General features: G+C 39.2%; 1 long non-coding RNA gene across 1 annotated transcript in view, besides 1 other annotated feature; it reads left to right on the top strand.

The window, feature by feature from the left end:
- Nucleotides 1-6,274, top strand: part of LINC02154 (long intergenic non-protein coding RNA 2154) — a 37,405-nt gene extending 31,131 nt beyond the window's left edge. Inside the window, exon 2 of the long non-coding RNA NR_146309.1 lies at nt 4,987-6,274. This is a non-coding gene — a long non-coding RNA (long intergenic non-protein coding RNA 2154). The remainder of the gene's footprint in view (nt 1-4,986) is intronic.
- Nucleotides 8,248-8,497: an enhancer, noted in NCBI's record as "active region_29437". NCBI's record gives its function as "activates an Ori minimal core promoter by ATAC-STARR-seq in GM12878 lymphoblastoid cells {active_cell/tissue: GM12878}" and the evidence as "EXISTENCE:reporter gene assay evidence [ECO:0000049][PMID:35858748]".

The raw sequence follows: 14,073 nt of genomic DNA, 5'->3' as shown, positions 1-14,073 counted from the left end.
GAGCCTTAGAGGCCTACAGTAGAGCTGAGTCTCAATCAAAATGCAATTGAGAAAAGGAGAAACACACCTGTTATTTTAATCTTAATATTGAATATAGAGACTCAGTTAAATAGGCATTAGAGGACTGAAAAGAGAAGGTGGGAACACGGAGGTAACAGAGGTAGCTGCTACTACTGAAGACAACAGCCACTCCCAGGCCTGCGGGGAAAAAAAAAATGGAAGAACTTGGGGTTAACAGAACCTAAAATCTATGAGGCGAACCCTCGAAGGGCTGGGGCCCAGGCCTCTGAGGAAGTAGCTCTCACTCAATCAGCTGGTGCTGGTACCTTTAAGGGTCGAAAAATAATGCAGGTAATAATAATAATAATTTAGGTAGCAGTTTGATGTTTTAGTTCTACAAAAAAAAAGTGAGAAGTGCCTTTTCCTAGACGGAAACAAACATTTTCTTTTGCTATAAAGGGAATGGGAAGTAGGATTAGGACCTCACACCACGGAAGTTCAGAATGGTTTAAGTGTTTGTAAGGAACGGAAAAAACTAAGCATGGTCATGGAGGAATTTTAAGGAAATAGAAACTATTGCTTCACCTCCTTTTTCCTGGAATGTGTCAGTGTGTATTGCCATATAAATATATTAATAAATATGCATGTAATATCTGTGTTAAAGGTTGCATTAGTTCCTACTTATCTACCCCCATTCACTCAAATCCAAAAGACATATGGACATCAACTTCCTGTTTCACTTAGTGAAATCAGGAAACTCTTATTCATTTTTCATAACATTTTATTTATTATTATTATTGTATTATTATTGTTTTGAGACAGAGTCTCACTCTGTCACCCAGGCTGGAGTGCAGTGGCATGATCTCAGCTCACTATATATAGTATATAGTAAAACCCTGTCTCTACTAAGAAAAAGACAGAGTCTTGCTCTGTTGCCCAGGCTAGAGTGCAGTGGCATGATCTCAGCTTACTGCAACCTCTGCCTTAGTGGTTCAAGTGATTCTCGTGCCTCAGCCTCCCAAGTAGCTGGAATTACAGATACCCACCACCATGCTCGCTAATTTTTGTATTTTTAGTAGAAACGGGGTTTCGCCATGTTGGCCAGGCTGGTCTTGAACTCCTGACCTCAAGTGATCCACTCGCCTCGGCCTCTGAAAGTGCTGGGATTACAGAAGAGAACCACCATACCCGGCCTAAAGGTGCTTTTATGACCCCAAATAGGATGAATCATAAAGGAAACATTCGAAGCTTCAAACACGGGATTAAAATTTGGATAAAATGAAAAAAATGAAAGAATATTGTAAAAGGTTCTAAATTATATTCTTGGTTTTGTTTTAGCCAATGGCATCCTCTTTTGAACTATTGGATCTGCTTTTTAATATTTATGTTTTAAGAAGGGTTCCTGTTTGGATGAAGTACAACTGGAAAACCATGTGGTTATAACAAAACTTCTCTGGAGGTCGTGTACTTAATTTCAAGACAAGTTCCTCAGAGAAAATCGCCTTTTGAGCTTTGAGCTTCTAGTCTTAAAGATTCAAATTATGATAATAATATCACAGATGCACATAATAATATGTTGAGAAAATTGCTCCCACTTTATTCTGGACTGTTTCAGAAGTAGTCTCTACCAGTAATCTTTTTATTCATAGTTAGGCTCACAGCTAGTTTCATGTCACATGTCCTCTTCGGACAAACCCAGGAAATAATTCTAAATCCTGTAACTTCTGAGTAGTAAGGTTGGATTGTGTTTCATCATAATGCCTAGCATTTATCATATCCAGAGGATGTATAAACTGGTTCTACAAAAAAGACCTGACACACCTTGTGAATAAGCACTTTCCTCATGTACAGCCTGTTGAACTGATGCTGTTAATGGGAAGGTAGATTTAGAATCCATTGAGCTCAAGCCAAAAAAATACTGCAAAATATTCTCTTACAATTTTCCCTTTGCAGTTTTCCAGCTGGGATCTTTGCCTGTTGTTTATATGGTAAAGCTCCTGAAAGCATTTCCATCTCAAGCTTCTTCCCTTTCAATTTGATCCTAGATTTTCCAAAAAGAAACCTTTCCAAGAGTCACAGATGTAAAATAACCAGTCATCCTCATTTCCTGGGACTTGAGACTTTCAGTGCTTAAACTGGGCAAGTCGCTGGCAAACTAGGATGAGTTTGTTATAGGGGCACATGATGGTGGCTTCCATGCAGGCTTTGAGTAAAAACTTCTTCAGCAGGTCTCCTTATTGCCTGGGTTCAGTCTCTCTGTATAGCAATATCTTTTAACAGTTGTTATATAAAAGCACGTAATTTTCTTTTTATCCAAATATATGTTTTAATTGTTTAACACAGGGATCATCAAACCCTGCCCTTACCTGGTTTTCACAGACAGGGGCCAGGGTCTTGCTCTGTCACCCAGGCTGGAGTGCAATGGCATAATCATAGCTCACTGCAGCCTCAAACCCCTGGGCTCAGGCTTTCCTCCCGCCTCAGCCTCCAGAATTGCTGGGACTACAGGTGTGTGCCAACGCACTGGCAAATTGTTTTTATTTTTTACTTTTGTACAGACAGGGTCTTGCTGTGTTGCCCAGGCTGGTCTCAAACTCCTGGCTTCAAGCAATCGTCCTGTCTCAGCCTTCCAAAGTGTTGGGATTACAGGCATGAGCCACTGTGCCTGGCCCTATTTTTCACATTTTTAAATGATATTTTTTTAAAGATTTTGCAATTTTCTTTTCTGTGGCTTACCTTCAAAGCCTAAAATAATTGCTATCTGCCTCTTTACAGAAAAATTTGCTGATCTCCAGTATAAGATATATTTAGCTATAGAAAACAGCCAAAACACTAGGCCCATTTTCCTGATATGATCAAATTTATGTCTGAATTACAAATTGCCAAAAAAACTTTATAAATTCTTTTTCATTTTGCCATACAGTGCTTTATAAATTTATGAAAAATATACAATGTTAAACAGTTTAATATTTTTCTAAGTTCATAATTATGACTCATTTTTCTAAGTTGAACAGAAACAGTAGAAATCATAACCAAGCCCCCTCATTTTACAGGTGAATAAACTGAGGCTGGGAAGAGTAAAGGAAGAGCTCACCCACAGAGCTCACCCACAGCTGGTGGGGAAAGAGCCAGAACTAAGAACCCCACCTGGATCCCAGCATTCTTGCATTATAGTTCCCCAGGAGGACTTTATCATACAGGATGGCAATTTAAAAAGTGAATCATTGCTAAATTGTTACATACCAAACTTATTCTCCTGGGCTATTCCTGCCTTCCACCTCCCCTCAAGGCCAACACAGGGAAATGTCCCTACTATCTCTATGGGGCAATATTTTCCCATTTTACCTGCCAATTCTGTTGCCTATGATGGTCTGTGCTTTAGATCTGAGTTTTCAGCCAGCCTTCCCACCATGGCAGTATGTTTGAATTGCCTGGCGTGTGTGTGTGTGTGTGTGTGTGTGTGGTTGTTGTTGTTTTGTTTTAATATCAATACCTGGGCCTTATCCTCTTATATTCTCATTCAACCAGTCTGAGCAGGGCCTAAGAAATGAGTATGCCTTTAGGGCCCAATTGATTCTAATAGGAACCACTGTGTTAGACTACATAACACTGTGTTTTACAGGAAGCAAAAATATTTTTACAAATGGTAAAGTGTCTTCATCAGAGAGTGAAGTGAATTTGAAAGTGCTTTAGGCTTGATGAATTCCGATACAATAGGGTAATTTTGATCAAAAACTTTTAAGAACAAAACTGTATATCATGTAGACCATAACTTAAGATAGTTGAAGGTAAACTGAGACAATTAATTTGGTCTCCATTTTATATTCTTCTTTATAAAGTCCATTATAATCACCTGCAATTTTTTTTACTGGCATACAAAATCTACTTTAACCTGTGGAAAAGATAGTTATCAAAATTGTATACTAATGGATATAACAACCAGTGACCAATAATCTTTAGTGCTTTGGATCTGGAGTGGTTTGGTCAACATGTAGTTACTTGGGTAGAATAACTTGCACCTAAGGAAAACCATATGTTTCTCTAGACGTATCTATCTATCTAGGCATATATATATGTATACATACAATTACAAATATTTTGATTTGTAAATATTGAGCTGAAAAAAATTTAAGCCAGGCGAACATGATATTAAACACAAAGCTAATACAACATGTGATTTTAAATGTAAATTTGATTTTATATATAATATATAATGTTATATATAATATATATAATTGAACAACATATAGTGTGTCCCAGTGTGTCATTTTCCAAGAGGTTATAAATATTTCCAAGTGAGGAGGAAGAATTCTTCAATCAAATTTTATGCCATTTGGAGCATATTTAAGACTTAGCTGAGCGTGAAGTAAAAGACATATTGTTGGCTGTAAGAAAGTCAAATTACTGCATGTAGGAAAATTTTTACCCCTCAGTGCTCAATATACAATTTTCTCAAACTTTACACCCACTGCTTAGATAAAATCTTTCAATATTGCAGCCAAGGATGAGAAATTTTAATTTCGGCCCTGTTCTTTGTCAAGAACTGTTCAATATTCTAAATCAATATAGTGATCATGGGGCTATAAGTCCCTCGAGGTGCCCATTTATCAATAGCAATTTGACTCAGTAAGAATTTGTAAACTAGCTTCACAAAGAAGGCCACAGACTAGAGTTCCTCAGCCTTGACACTGTTGACATTTTGAGCCAAATAAGTCTTTATCGTAGGTGCTGTCCTGTGCATCGTAGCATCTTCAGCAGCATCCCTGGACTTGATCCACTAAATGCCAGTGGCACCCCCTCACCCAATTGTGACCACAAAAAATGACTCCAAACATTGCCACGATTCCTGGGGGGCAAAATCACCTCCAGTTGAGAGCCATTGCTATAGAGCATAGAACACTGGTCTCAAACTTCAGAGATGGGAAAAATTTAGGACAATAAGAATGTAAAGTGACTTTTTCACTAAACCTCTTTTTTCCCTTTCAGTATAAAATAATAAGATGGCTGATCCTGCAAAGAGGCGCGGTGACATCAACAGTGACTCAGTCTCTATGATGGTATTAGTAACTGGCAGCTGACTCTCCTATTTATCATCAAGTTATGTTCCAAATAAGACTTTCAAGTCTGAGAAAAATGACAAATCCCTTCCAGGCATGGTTCAAGTTAAAGCTGAAACTGTGTCTTCGTTTCAGCTCAAGAGAGGTTTTGATTGTGTCGTGGCTTTTCCTTGTGTATTGGTTGAGGAACTGTGCCTTGGAGGGGCGGGGAGTCTTGAGAATGGGTCAACTGATGGAGGGGGAGTGGAAGACATTGGTTGCCCAAGAAAATATGTCAACATCTGTCCATCACTGCAACTCCGGCCTGATTATCATTTTTTCTGCTTCTGTAAGCACCAATGAGACAATGCCACTGAACCACATTCTTTGTTGCCTGCAGTATTTCCCACCACTGCGCCACCTCTGATATGCTAATGAGGAAGCCCAGGGTTTTGTGTGGCTGAAAAGCCTTTCAGGCACAATCAGTGGGTCAACAATCTCAACTCTGTACAGCGGCTCAGCCTGCTCTGTGAGAGGCTCCTCTTTCGGAGGGGTCCTTCCTCACACCTTTTCTGTGAGTGCGTCTGTGCTTAAGGAAGGGCAATTAACCATCTGGCTGCTTGTCCCCTGGAGAAATTGACAGAACATCAAACAGAATAAACTCATACCTTGAAAACTGCCAAGTGGCACATGACTGTCCGGTTCACTGTGGGGAGAAGCCACTAACCAATGGTCTGAATCTAAAAATGACCCAGTGGCACCGGTTTGTAGTAAAACTTTGAAGATAGAACTCCATGCAAATTCTGACTCCATAGTGCTGGTTCTTGATGTAAATCTCCCAATGTAACTGTCAAGGTTTAAAAATATCTTACGTAGGTGTTCAGAATCATAAGGTCATAGAATTATAAAATGTTAACCGGCAGAAGTATTTTCATCTTTGTCATACGAAAAAGAGTAATTTGCTCATAATAAGCCTTCAATATTTATGTATTGGATTGCAATTAACAGGAATCAAAGGAATCTTATAAGGATCATTTATCTAGAATAATCTCTATTTTCTAGAATTACTTAATGATCATTGTCTTTATTCAGCCTAAGTAACATTGAAATTTTTCTTCATTCAAATAAATTCATACTCATGAAGCCTTTCCCCACTTTTCATTTCATATTCTGTTTCTACTAGTATTGTTAACCATTGCAAAGAAATACTGTTGCCCTCCATTAAAACCTGAACTGCCTGCTGTCTATGGTTTATTTATCTAACAAAGATTTATTGTGGCGCCAGACATTGTAATAGGCCATAAAGACACAAAAAAGAAAAATAGATAGTTTCTGACCTCAGGAAAAACTTAGTCACATGAGGGAGACAGTATATAATACAACGTGGTTAGTACCTGATGAAACAGTGCACATGGTGCCATGGGAACACAAAAGCCAGCCACAGGGAAGTCAAGGAAGGCTTCCTGGAGGACAGTGAACCGAATCTTAAACTGAATAATATGTAGTGAGGAAAAGCGAGGGTAAATGGAATTTTATGAAATTTGTCAGAAGAGGTTAACCATTGTAACAAACAGCCCTGGAATTTCAGGGGCAAACACAACCAAGATTTATTTCTTGCCTATGTCACAGTCTAATGAGGTTGTCAGGGGATGTCACAAAGTGTGGTACTGTGTTCTATGAAGTCTTTCAGAGACCTGGTTCCTTCCATTAGCAACTCCCCCATCTTCTAAGACTGCACTGGATTCTTGGTTTCCTCTTCCCCAGATAGTTTGGCACCAGGAGTGTCCTCAGTAAGATAGATCTGCTTCCTGCTCTCATGGAACTACTCTAATGAAGAAACACACAAATCAATACATAAGAAAAATAGGCCTTACTTAGATGGGATGGTCAGGGAAAGCCTCTTTGGAAAGATGACATTTGAGCTGATATGTAAATGACAAGAAGGAGCTATCCACAAGAATGTGGAGGAGGAGGGACATTCCAGGCACAGAGTTAAGTTAGAGTCAAGGTCCTTAGTTAAGAATAAGCTAGGTAAGCGTCAGGATAGAAAAATGTCCAGTGTAGCTGAGGATAGTGGGCCAATGGGTGAATGGACAGATGAGGTCTCAGAGGTCAGCAGAAGTTAGCTCATGAAGGACATTATAAACTAGATTAAGAAGGATGGATTTTTAATCTAAGTGCAATGAAAAGTTATTAGAGAGATTTGAGCCCAGAACTAATGTGATTTATATTTTTACAAAACAATTCATGTGGAAGCAGAGAAAACTAGTTAGGAGGCTTTTGTACAAGCCCCAGTTGACAAAGGGTGGTGATACCAGTGGAGATGGGGAAAAATTGAAAGGTTTGAGAGGTGCTTTGAAAATAGAATTCACGGGACTTGCTGTTCCAGAAGTATTGGGTGTGGAAGGTGAGGGAAGCTATAAGACAGTAATCAAGAACAATTACTTGAGCACTAAGTGGGTGGTAAAACCATTTACTGAGATATGTGTATTTCTAGGGGAGCTATATGAGATACATGAGACTGGAAAAAACCTGATTGGCAAAAGAGAGAATACTCTTGGGTCATGTTGAGTTCGAGATGCTTATTAAGCTTCCACATAGTGATATCTAGTTGGCTGTTGGATACAGGAATCTAGAATCCTGGGCGTGAATATTTTAAAGATATTGGACATGATGAGTTTGCCCAGTTAGAGTGTGGACAAAAGATACGAGACCCAGGATAGACCCCTGAGGCGCTCAACATTTAGAGGTGCAGGCAGAGGCAAAAGACCCACCAAAGGAGCATGAAAAGGAATTGTGAGGTAGGAGGAAGCCACCAGGGTGCTGGTGAGGAGACAAGGGAAATGGGTAAAGTTCTAGGCAACAGAGAAAGGGGATATTTCAATTTTATTTCTTTAACTTCTGCATCCTCCAAACCCAGTAAGCCATTTTAAATATGATTTCCAATGAGAATACATCTGGTCAAATTAATATACTCACGAACAGCGTCCCCACAATGAACTTTTGGCCCAAGATTCATTTGTCAAGGAGATGCGGAATCAGTGGAATGGCCAATAGAACGTGGACTCTGAAGCAACCTTCCCAAAAATACAGTCATTTTTGAGATGGAGACATCGAAGCCAAGGAAATTCATTTCCAGCTTCACGTCTGAAGGTTTGAGTTCACATTTCAGCACTAACAATTGTGTATCTCTAGGGGAACTATATGAGGTTTCTGAGCCTCAGTTTCATTTTCTATATAATGGGTGTAATAACCACTGTGTATTTGTGATTACTCTCATCCCTCTGAGTAGATACAATCTTTCTGTACAATAATAAGACTTCACGCTTTCCTATCTTAGAAACCCCTTTAAAACTCCTCCCCAGACCTTCCCCTAGGTACTACTTGCTGCATTAGGTGCTGCTCTGTGTCTAAGAACTGCTGACTTTGTTTGTCTGCAGTTACTCATTATAATGTCATTACCTACCAAGGAAGGAGTATTGTTGCCTGGGCTGCTAGCCTCTGCTTCATTTGGTCATGCTTGAACTCTCTTCTTAGCTCACATCTCCTTTCTAGTCACAAGGATGTAAAATTGTCTTCAGTTTCCTCCCACCCATTCTTATTTTATAAATTGTTCGAGAAGGCGTTGGTGACCTTTACATGTGCCTCCAAATGCACTGGCTTCACACATGGTTTCTTGCACTAGCCTTGCATCTTCATGTCCTTCAAGTCAATCAATTCCTTCCACCATCCATACTGTCCAATCAACCTCAACACCACCTAACTCACATGGTGCTTGAAGGAATCAAATACTTTAGCACACATGTTGTGAACTTCATCTACAAAGGCAAAAGAGTTTTCTTGGTACTCTTGTAGCTAGATCTTTAAGCCTTTAAAAATAGACAAATGGGGACTAAAATCAAAAAGGGCTTATGTAAGTAGATTAAAGCATTTGTTCTGATTGATGCAGACATTTAAAAATGCATTATTCTAAAGAACACAATTCTAGCTCTGTGGAAGTGCTATTGAATTTCAGTCCTCTATGCCTTATGATTTTTGTAACATTCTGTTTTAGAGTCCAACAATAGACTCTGAATTTTCCCAGAGACATGAAAAGTGGTCTGTAAACAAAATGACCATTCTTCTAGAAATCAAATCATCACCAATTAATAGAACAAGGACATCATTTTTCACCCATCATTGCATTAGCTCATTAGCTCAGGCTGCCATAAAAAGCTACCATAGACTAGGTAGCTTAAATGACAGAAATTCATTTTTTTGCAGTTCCTGAGGCTGGAAAATCCAGGTTCAAGGTGACAGCCAATTCTGTTTCTGGTGAGGGCCCTCTTGCTGGCTTGGAAATAGCCAACTTCTCACTATGTCCTCATGTGGCCTTTCCTCAGTGCATGTGCATGTCGTATGTATGTGAAGGAGATCTCTCTCTCTCTTCCTCTTCCTATAAGGCCACCAATTCTATTGGATTAGGACCCCACCCTTATGACCTCATTTAACCTTAATTACCTCCTAAAAGCCTTACCTTCAAATCTAATCACATTGGTGGCTAGGGCTTAAACATATGAATTTTGGGGAAAGAGCCATAATTTAGTCCATAGCACTGGTAAACACTGCTCAGAGTTCATTGCAAAGGGCACTTTTGTACACTGCTCGTGGGGGTAAATCTGGTGTAGTCATTATGGAGGGAAATGAGGTGACGAGTACCAGTGGTCTTAAAATGGTCTCTGATGCGATAATTCCTCATTTACACCCTTAAGAAAATAATCAGAGCTGTATATACAGATTTTTGAATACATCTTTTTCTAAACCTACTATTTATAAATGCAAAGGCCTAAAAATAACCCTTTTATGTTCAACAATGGGATAATAAACACATAAATTCAGAGGCAATAATATGGTGCCAATGTGGTAGAGTGAGGAGAAATAATCTTTTTTGAAAAATCTTTAATGCCATGAGAACATATTTAGGATAATATTTAGAGGGGAAATAGGCTACTTAAAGGAATCATTTAGAATAAATTAATATTTTTAATGCATATATAAATTTGATATGCATTTACATAATATCAGAAGAATAGACATATAAATAGTAACTGGTTAGGACTGCTTGGTGGGATTTAGGGTGGTTTTTTTTTCTTCAAAGTCTTTTGTGTTTCCAAACTATTGACAGTTCGCATTTATTATCAGTATACTAAGGAAAAAAAGCCATTTTAAAAATAGCTCTAGGAAACTATTCAAATCTAAAGCTTAAGCATTTATATTTCATGCTGCTTATGAGAAGACCAGGGACATGTAGCAGTTGCTTGTTTTTTTCTTTGTAATTCTAGTCATTCTATGTGACTCCCCTGTAGCAGGCAGAATAATGGTCCCCTAAAGATTTCTACACTCTAGCCCCTAGAACTTGTGAATGTGTTACATGGCAAAGGGGAGTTTGCAGATGGGATTAAAGGTATAGGTCTTGAGATGGGAAGATTATCCTGGGTTGGCTTAGTGGACTCTATCTAATCATATAGGTCCTTAAAATCGGATAAACTTTTTGGGCTGTGGTCAGAGGGAGATCTGACGGCAGCACCAGAAGGACTTGGCCCGCCACTGAAATTGCCTTTTTCACCTTTTGCAGGGAATTCTGGTAGCCTGCAGAAGGTGAAAAAGGCAAGGCAAGAAAATCTCCCCTAAATCTTCCAGAAGGCATGCTGTGCAGCTGGCACCTTGATTTTAACGCAGTGAGATTTGCGTTGGACTTTTAACCTATAAAACCATGAGATAATAAATGTGTATTGTTTTAAGCTACTAAGTTAGTTGTAATTTGCCACGGCAGTAATAGAAAGTTGATGTAGTCTTGAAAAGTAATTTCACTCAATCTTGTTTAATTTGGTGTTCACACCACCCCCTCCATTATAACCACCTGTTTTCTTTTTTTTTTTTAATCTTAATTATTCAACAAGTATTAACTGAGGACCAGCTATGAACTGGACACTGTTAGGTGCTGAGGAAAAGAGAAAGGAAGTGTAAGATACAGCTCTGAGTTTGGTAGTACAGACAAATGACCTTTTAGAGAGAACCAAGAGCGTGTTAGGGAAGAAACACTGTGTTGCTATAATATTAATCTGATCTTTTTAATGATTTTCTGTAGCTTAATGTTCATTCTTTTGAGATATTTCTGTTTAACTGATATCAGAGATGAAGTCTACATATAAGAACAATAAATTTCCTTTGCATTTTCTTTCTTACTCTTTGTGACTATCAACCCAGCAGATACAACCTTTAAATAAATTTATCGTCTATCTCAGTATAGAGACCTCTAAGTCACCAAATATGCTCATCCTGCTAATAAAATTAAAGGCAGTTGTTCTTATCCCAGAGAACATCAAGAACAATCCCAGAATTCTATCAACTGCATGCAGGTGTGGGCTGTTAGAATTCTGTGGTGTTAAATGTGATGAATCATGCCATTTTATTCGTTAGCCAGTTGATTATTTCTTTGAAATGTGATTGCCTACATTGTGCTGGCCTTTGGTCATACAAAGAGAAATAAAGCCACTCCTTCACCTTCAGGAGCACCGAATTAAGCATGGGAGACAGAGACACAACCATGACAAAATGTGACATGTATGCAATTAACAGGTATGCAAGTCCCGTGGGGTGACAGTGAATGGAGCAATTATTTGGTATCCGGAGAACTAAGGTGGGAAGGGAGGTTGGAGGGACATTTGAATTGACTCTGAAGATCAAGCATGAATTTGCCAAGTGGAATTAGAGAAAGGGTATCCATGATAGATAAAATAACATGGACAAAGGCTGGGAGGTAGGGAAGTGCGTTGATCTTTCCTGTAAAGGAATGGGCTGCTCAAAGGAGTCTAAGGAGCAAAGAGGGGTTTGGAAGAGACATCTGAAGTTAGATAGTAAAATATATTAAATGCCAAGCTAGATGACTGAACTTGATCCTAGAGGCAATGGGAACTAACAGAGGTTTTTAAGCATGCCAATGTCACCATAAGCTCTATGGTTATAAACTGCTGTCCAGTTTTCTGCAGTGATGAAAATGTTCTATTTCCGCATTAAAATGTTACAGCCACTAGCCACTAGCTCAAATGTTGCAGTGACTGTTGAGCCACTGAAATATAACTATTGTGATTAAGGAACTGAATTTTTACTTCTATTTAATTTGAATTAATTTAAGTTTACTTTTAGCAAGCCACACGTGGCTAGTGACCACCATATTGGGCAGCCCAGAGCTAGAAAGTTATCTCTGGAGGAGTATTGAATGGAAGAGGAGAGAAGGCTTCCTACAGGGAAAAAAAGACTATATTAAAGAGGGAATCATTTCTTTTCCTTTCAGAGATAAATTTTTAACACTATATAAATGATTTTGACCATGGATTGTGTACAGATGGGTGCCAACTTATGATGGCTCATCTTACCATTTTTTGACTTTATAATGCTGTGAAAGCAATACGCATTTAGTAGAAACCATACTTTGAGTATCCATACAAGCATTTTGTTTTTCACTTTAAGTACAGTATTCAATAAATTACATGAGATATTCAGCACTTTATTACAAAATAGGCTTCGTGTTAGATGACTTTGCCCAACTTTAGGCTAATGTAAGTGTTCTGAGCACATTCCAGGTAGGCTAGGCTAAGCTATAATGTTTAGTAGGTTAGGTGTATTCAATGCCTTTTTGACTTATGATATTTTTAACTTATGATGTGATTACTGAGATGTAACTCCATTGTAAGTCAAGGAGCATCTATACTCAAATATAGACCATTAATAATATGGAGCCAACAGGCGTGGTGGCTCACGTCTGTAATCCCAGAACTTTGGGAGGCCGAGGTCAGGGGATCACTTGAGCTCAGGAGTTCAAGACCAGCCTGGACAACATGGTGAAACCCTGTCTCTACAAAAAAAATTTAAAAAATTAGCCAGGCATGGTGGCGGGTGCCTATGGAGCTAGCTACTCGGAAGGCTGAGGTGGTGGTACCAGTGGAGGGACTTGACTATGAGTTGTGCAGGTTCTTGGTCTTTTGAACAAAGAATTGGACAAAACATGCAAACAAAGCAATGAAAGGATGAAGCAACAAAAGCACAGATTTATTGAAACCAACGTACACTCCACAGAATGGGAGTGGGCTTGAGCAAGCAGCTGAAAAGCACTGGTTACAGAATTTTCTGGGGTTTGAATACCTTCTAGTGATTTCCCATTGGTTACTTGGTTGTACCTATGTAAATGAAAGAGTGGCCCACGACCAGTTTGATTGGTTGCAGGAGGTGACCAATCAGAGTCTGAAGTGAAGTTACAAAGTTACACATGAAGACTAGTCCTGCGACCAGTCTGATTGGTTGCGGGAGGGGACCAATTAGAGGTACTTTCCATTTTTCATCTGCACAGTGCAAAGGTAGTAACCTCTGATCCTTTCGTTACTTCAGTGTGGAGAGGTGGGGTTTTCCTTTTGATTCAGTTCTAGGAAGTCAGGGCGAATTGGCTTTAGGTAACCTGTCTCCAGACCCTATTCTCCTGCCTCAGTGGGAGGATCACCTGAGCCTAGGAGGCAGAGGTTGCAGCAACCTAAGATCATGCCACTGCACTCCAGCTTGGGTGACAGAGCAAAACCCTGTCTCAAATAATAATAATAATAATAATAAAGGAGCCAGTTTAGTTTGTGTGCCTATAATCCAGAAGAAAGGTGTTTCAGTGTACAGTCAGAGACGATAACCACTAATCCTGCCTCTGGGCTGAGGATGGGACATTGAACAACTGTTTTATTCCTTATTCCTTAGTATTTATTTTATAGAGTTGAATCTCCAACCCCTCATCTACTTACCCACCATACTATCTGTGTAACTACAGTTAACATGCAGTAGCCAAGACAGTGACTCTCAATGTGGGAAGGGGGTGATTTTGTTTCCCAGGGAACATTTGGCAATGTTTGGAGACGTTTTGAGTTATCACAACTGGGGAAGGGGTGCTACTGGCATCTAGTGGGTAGAAGCCAGGGATGCTGCAAAACATCCTACCACGCACGGGACAATGATGCAGTCC

This window comes from Homo sapiens, chromosome X, assembly GCF_000001405.40.
Source record: "Homo sapiens chromosome X, GRCh38.p14 Primary Assembly".
Taxonomy (NCBI): Eukaryota; Metazoa; Chordata; class Mammalia; order Primates; family Hominidae; genus Homo; species Homo sapiens.
The sequence above is the reverse complement of the archived record's forward strand: the minus strand, read 5'-3'. Positions and strand labels throughout refer to the sequence as shown.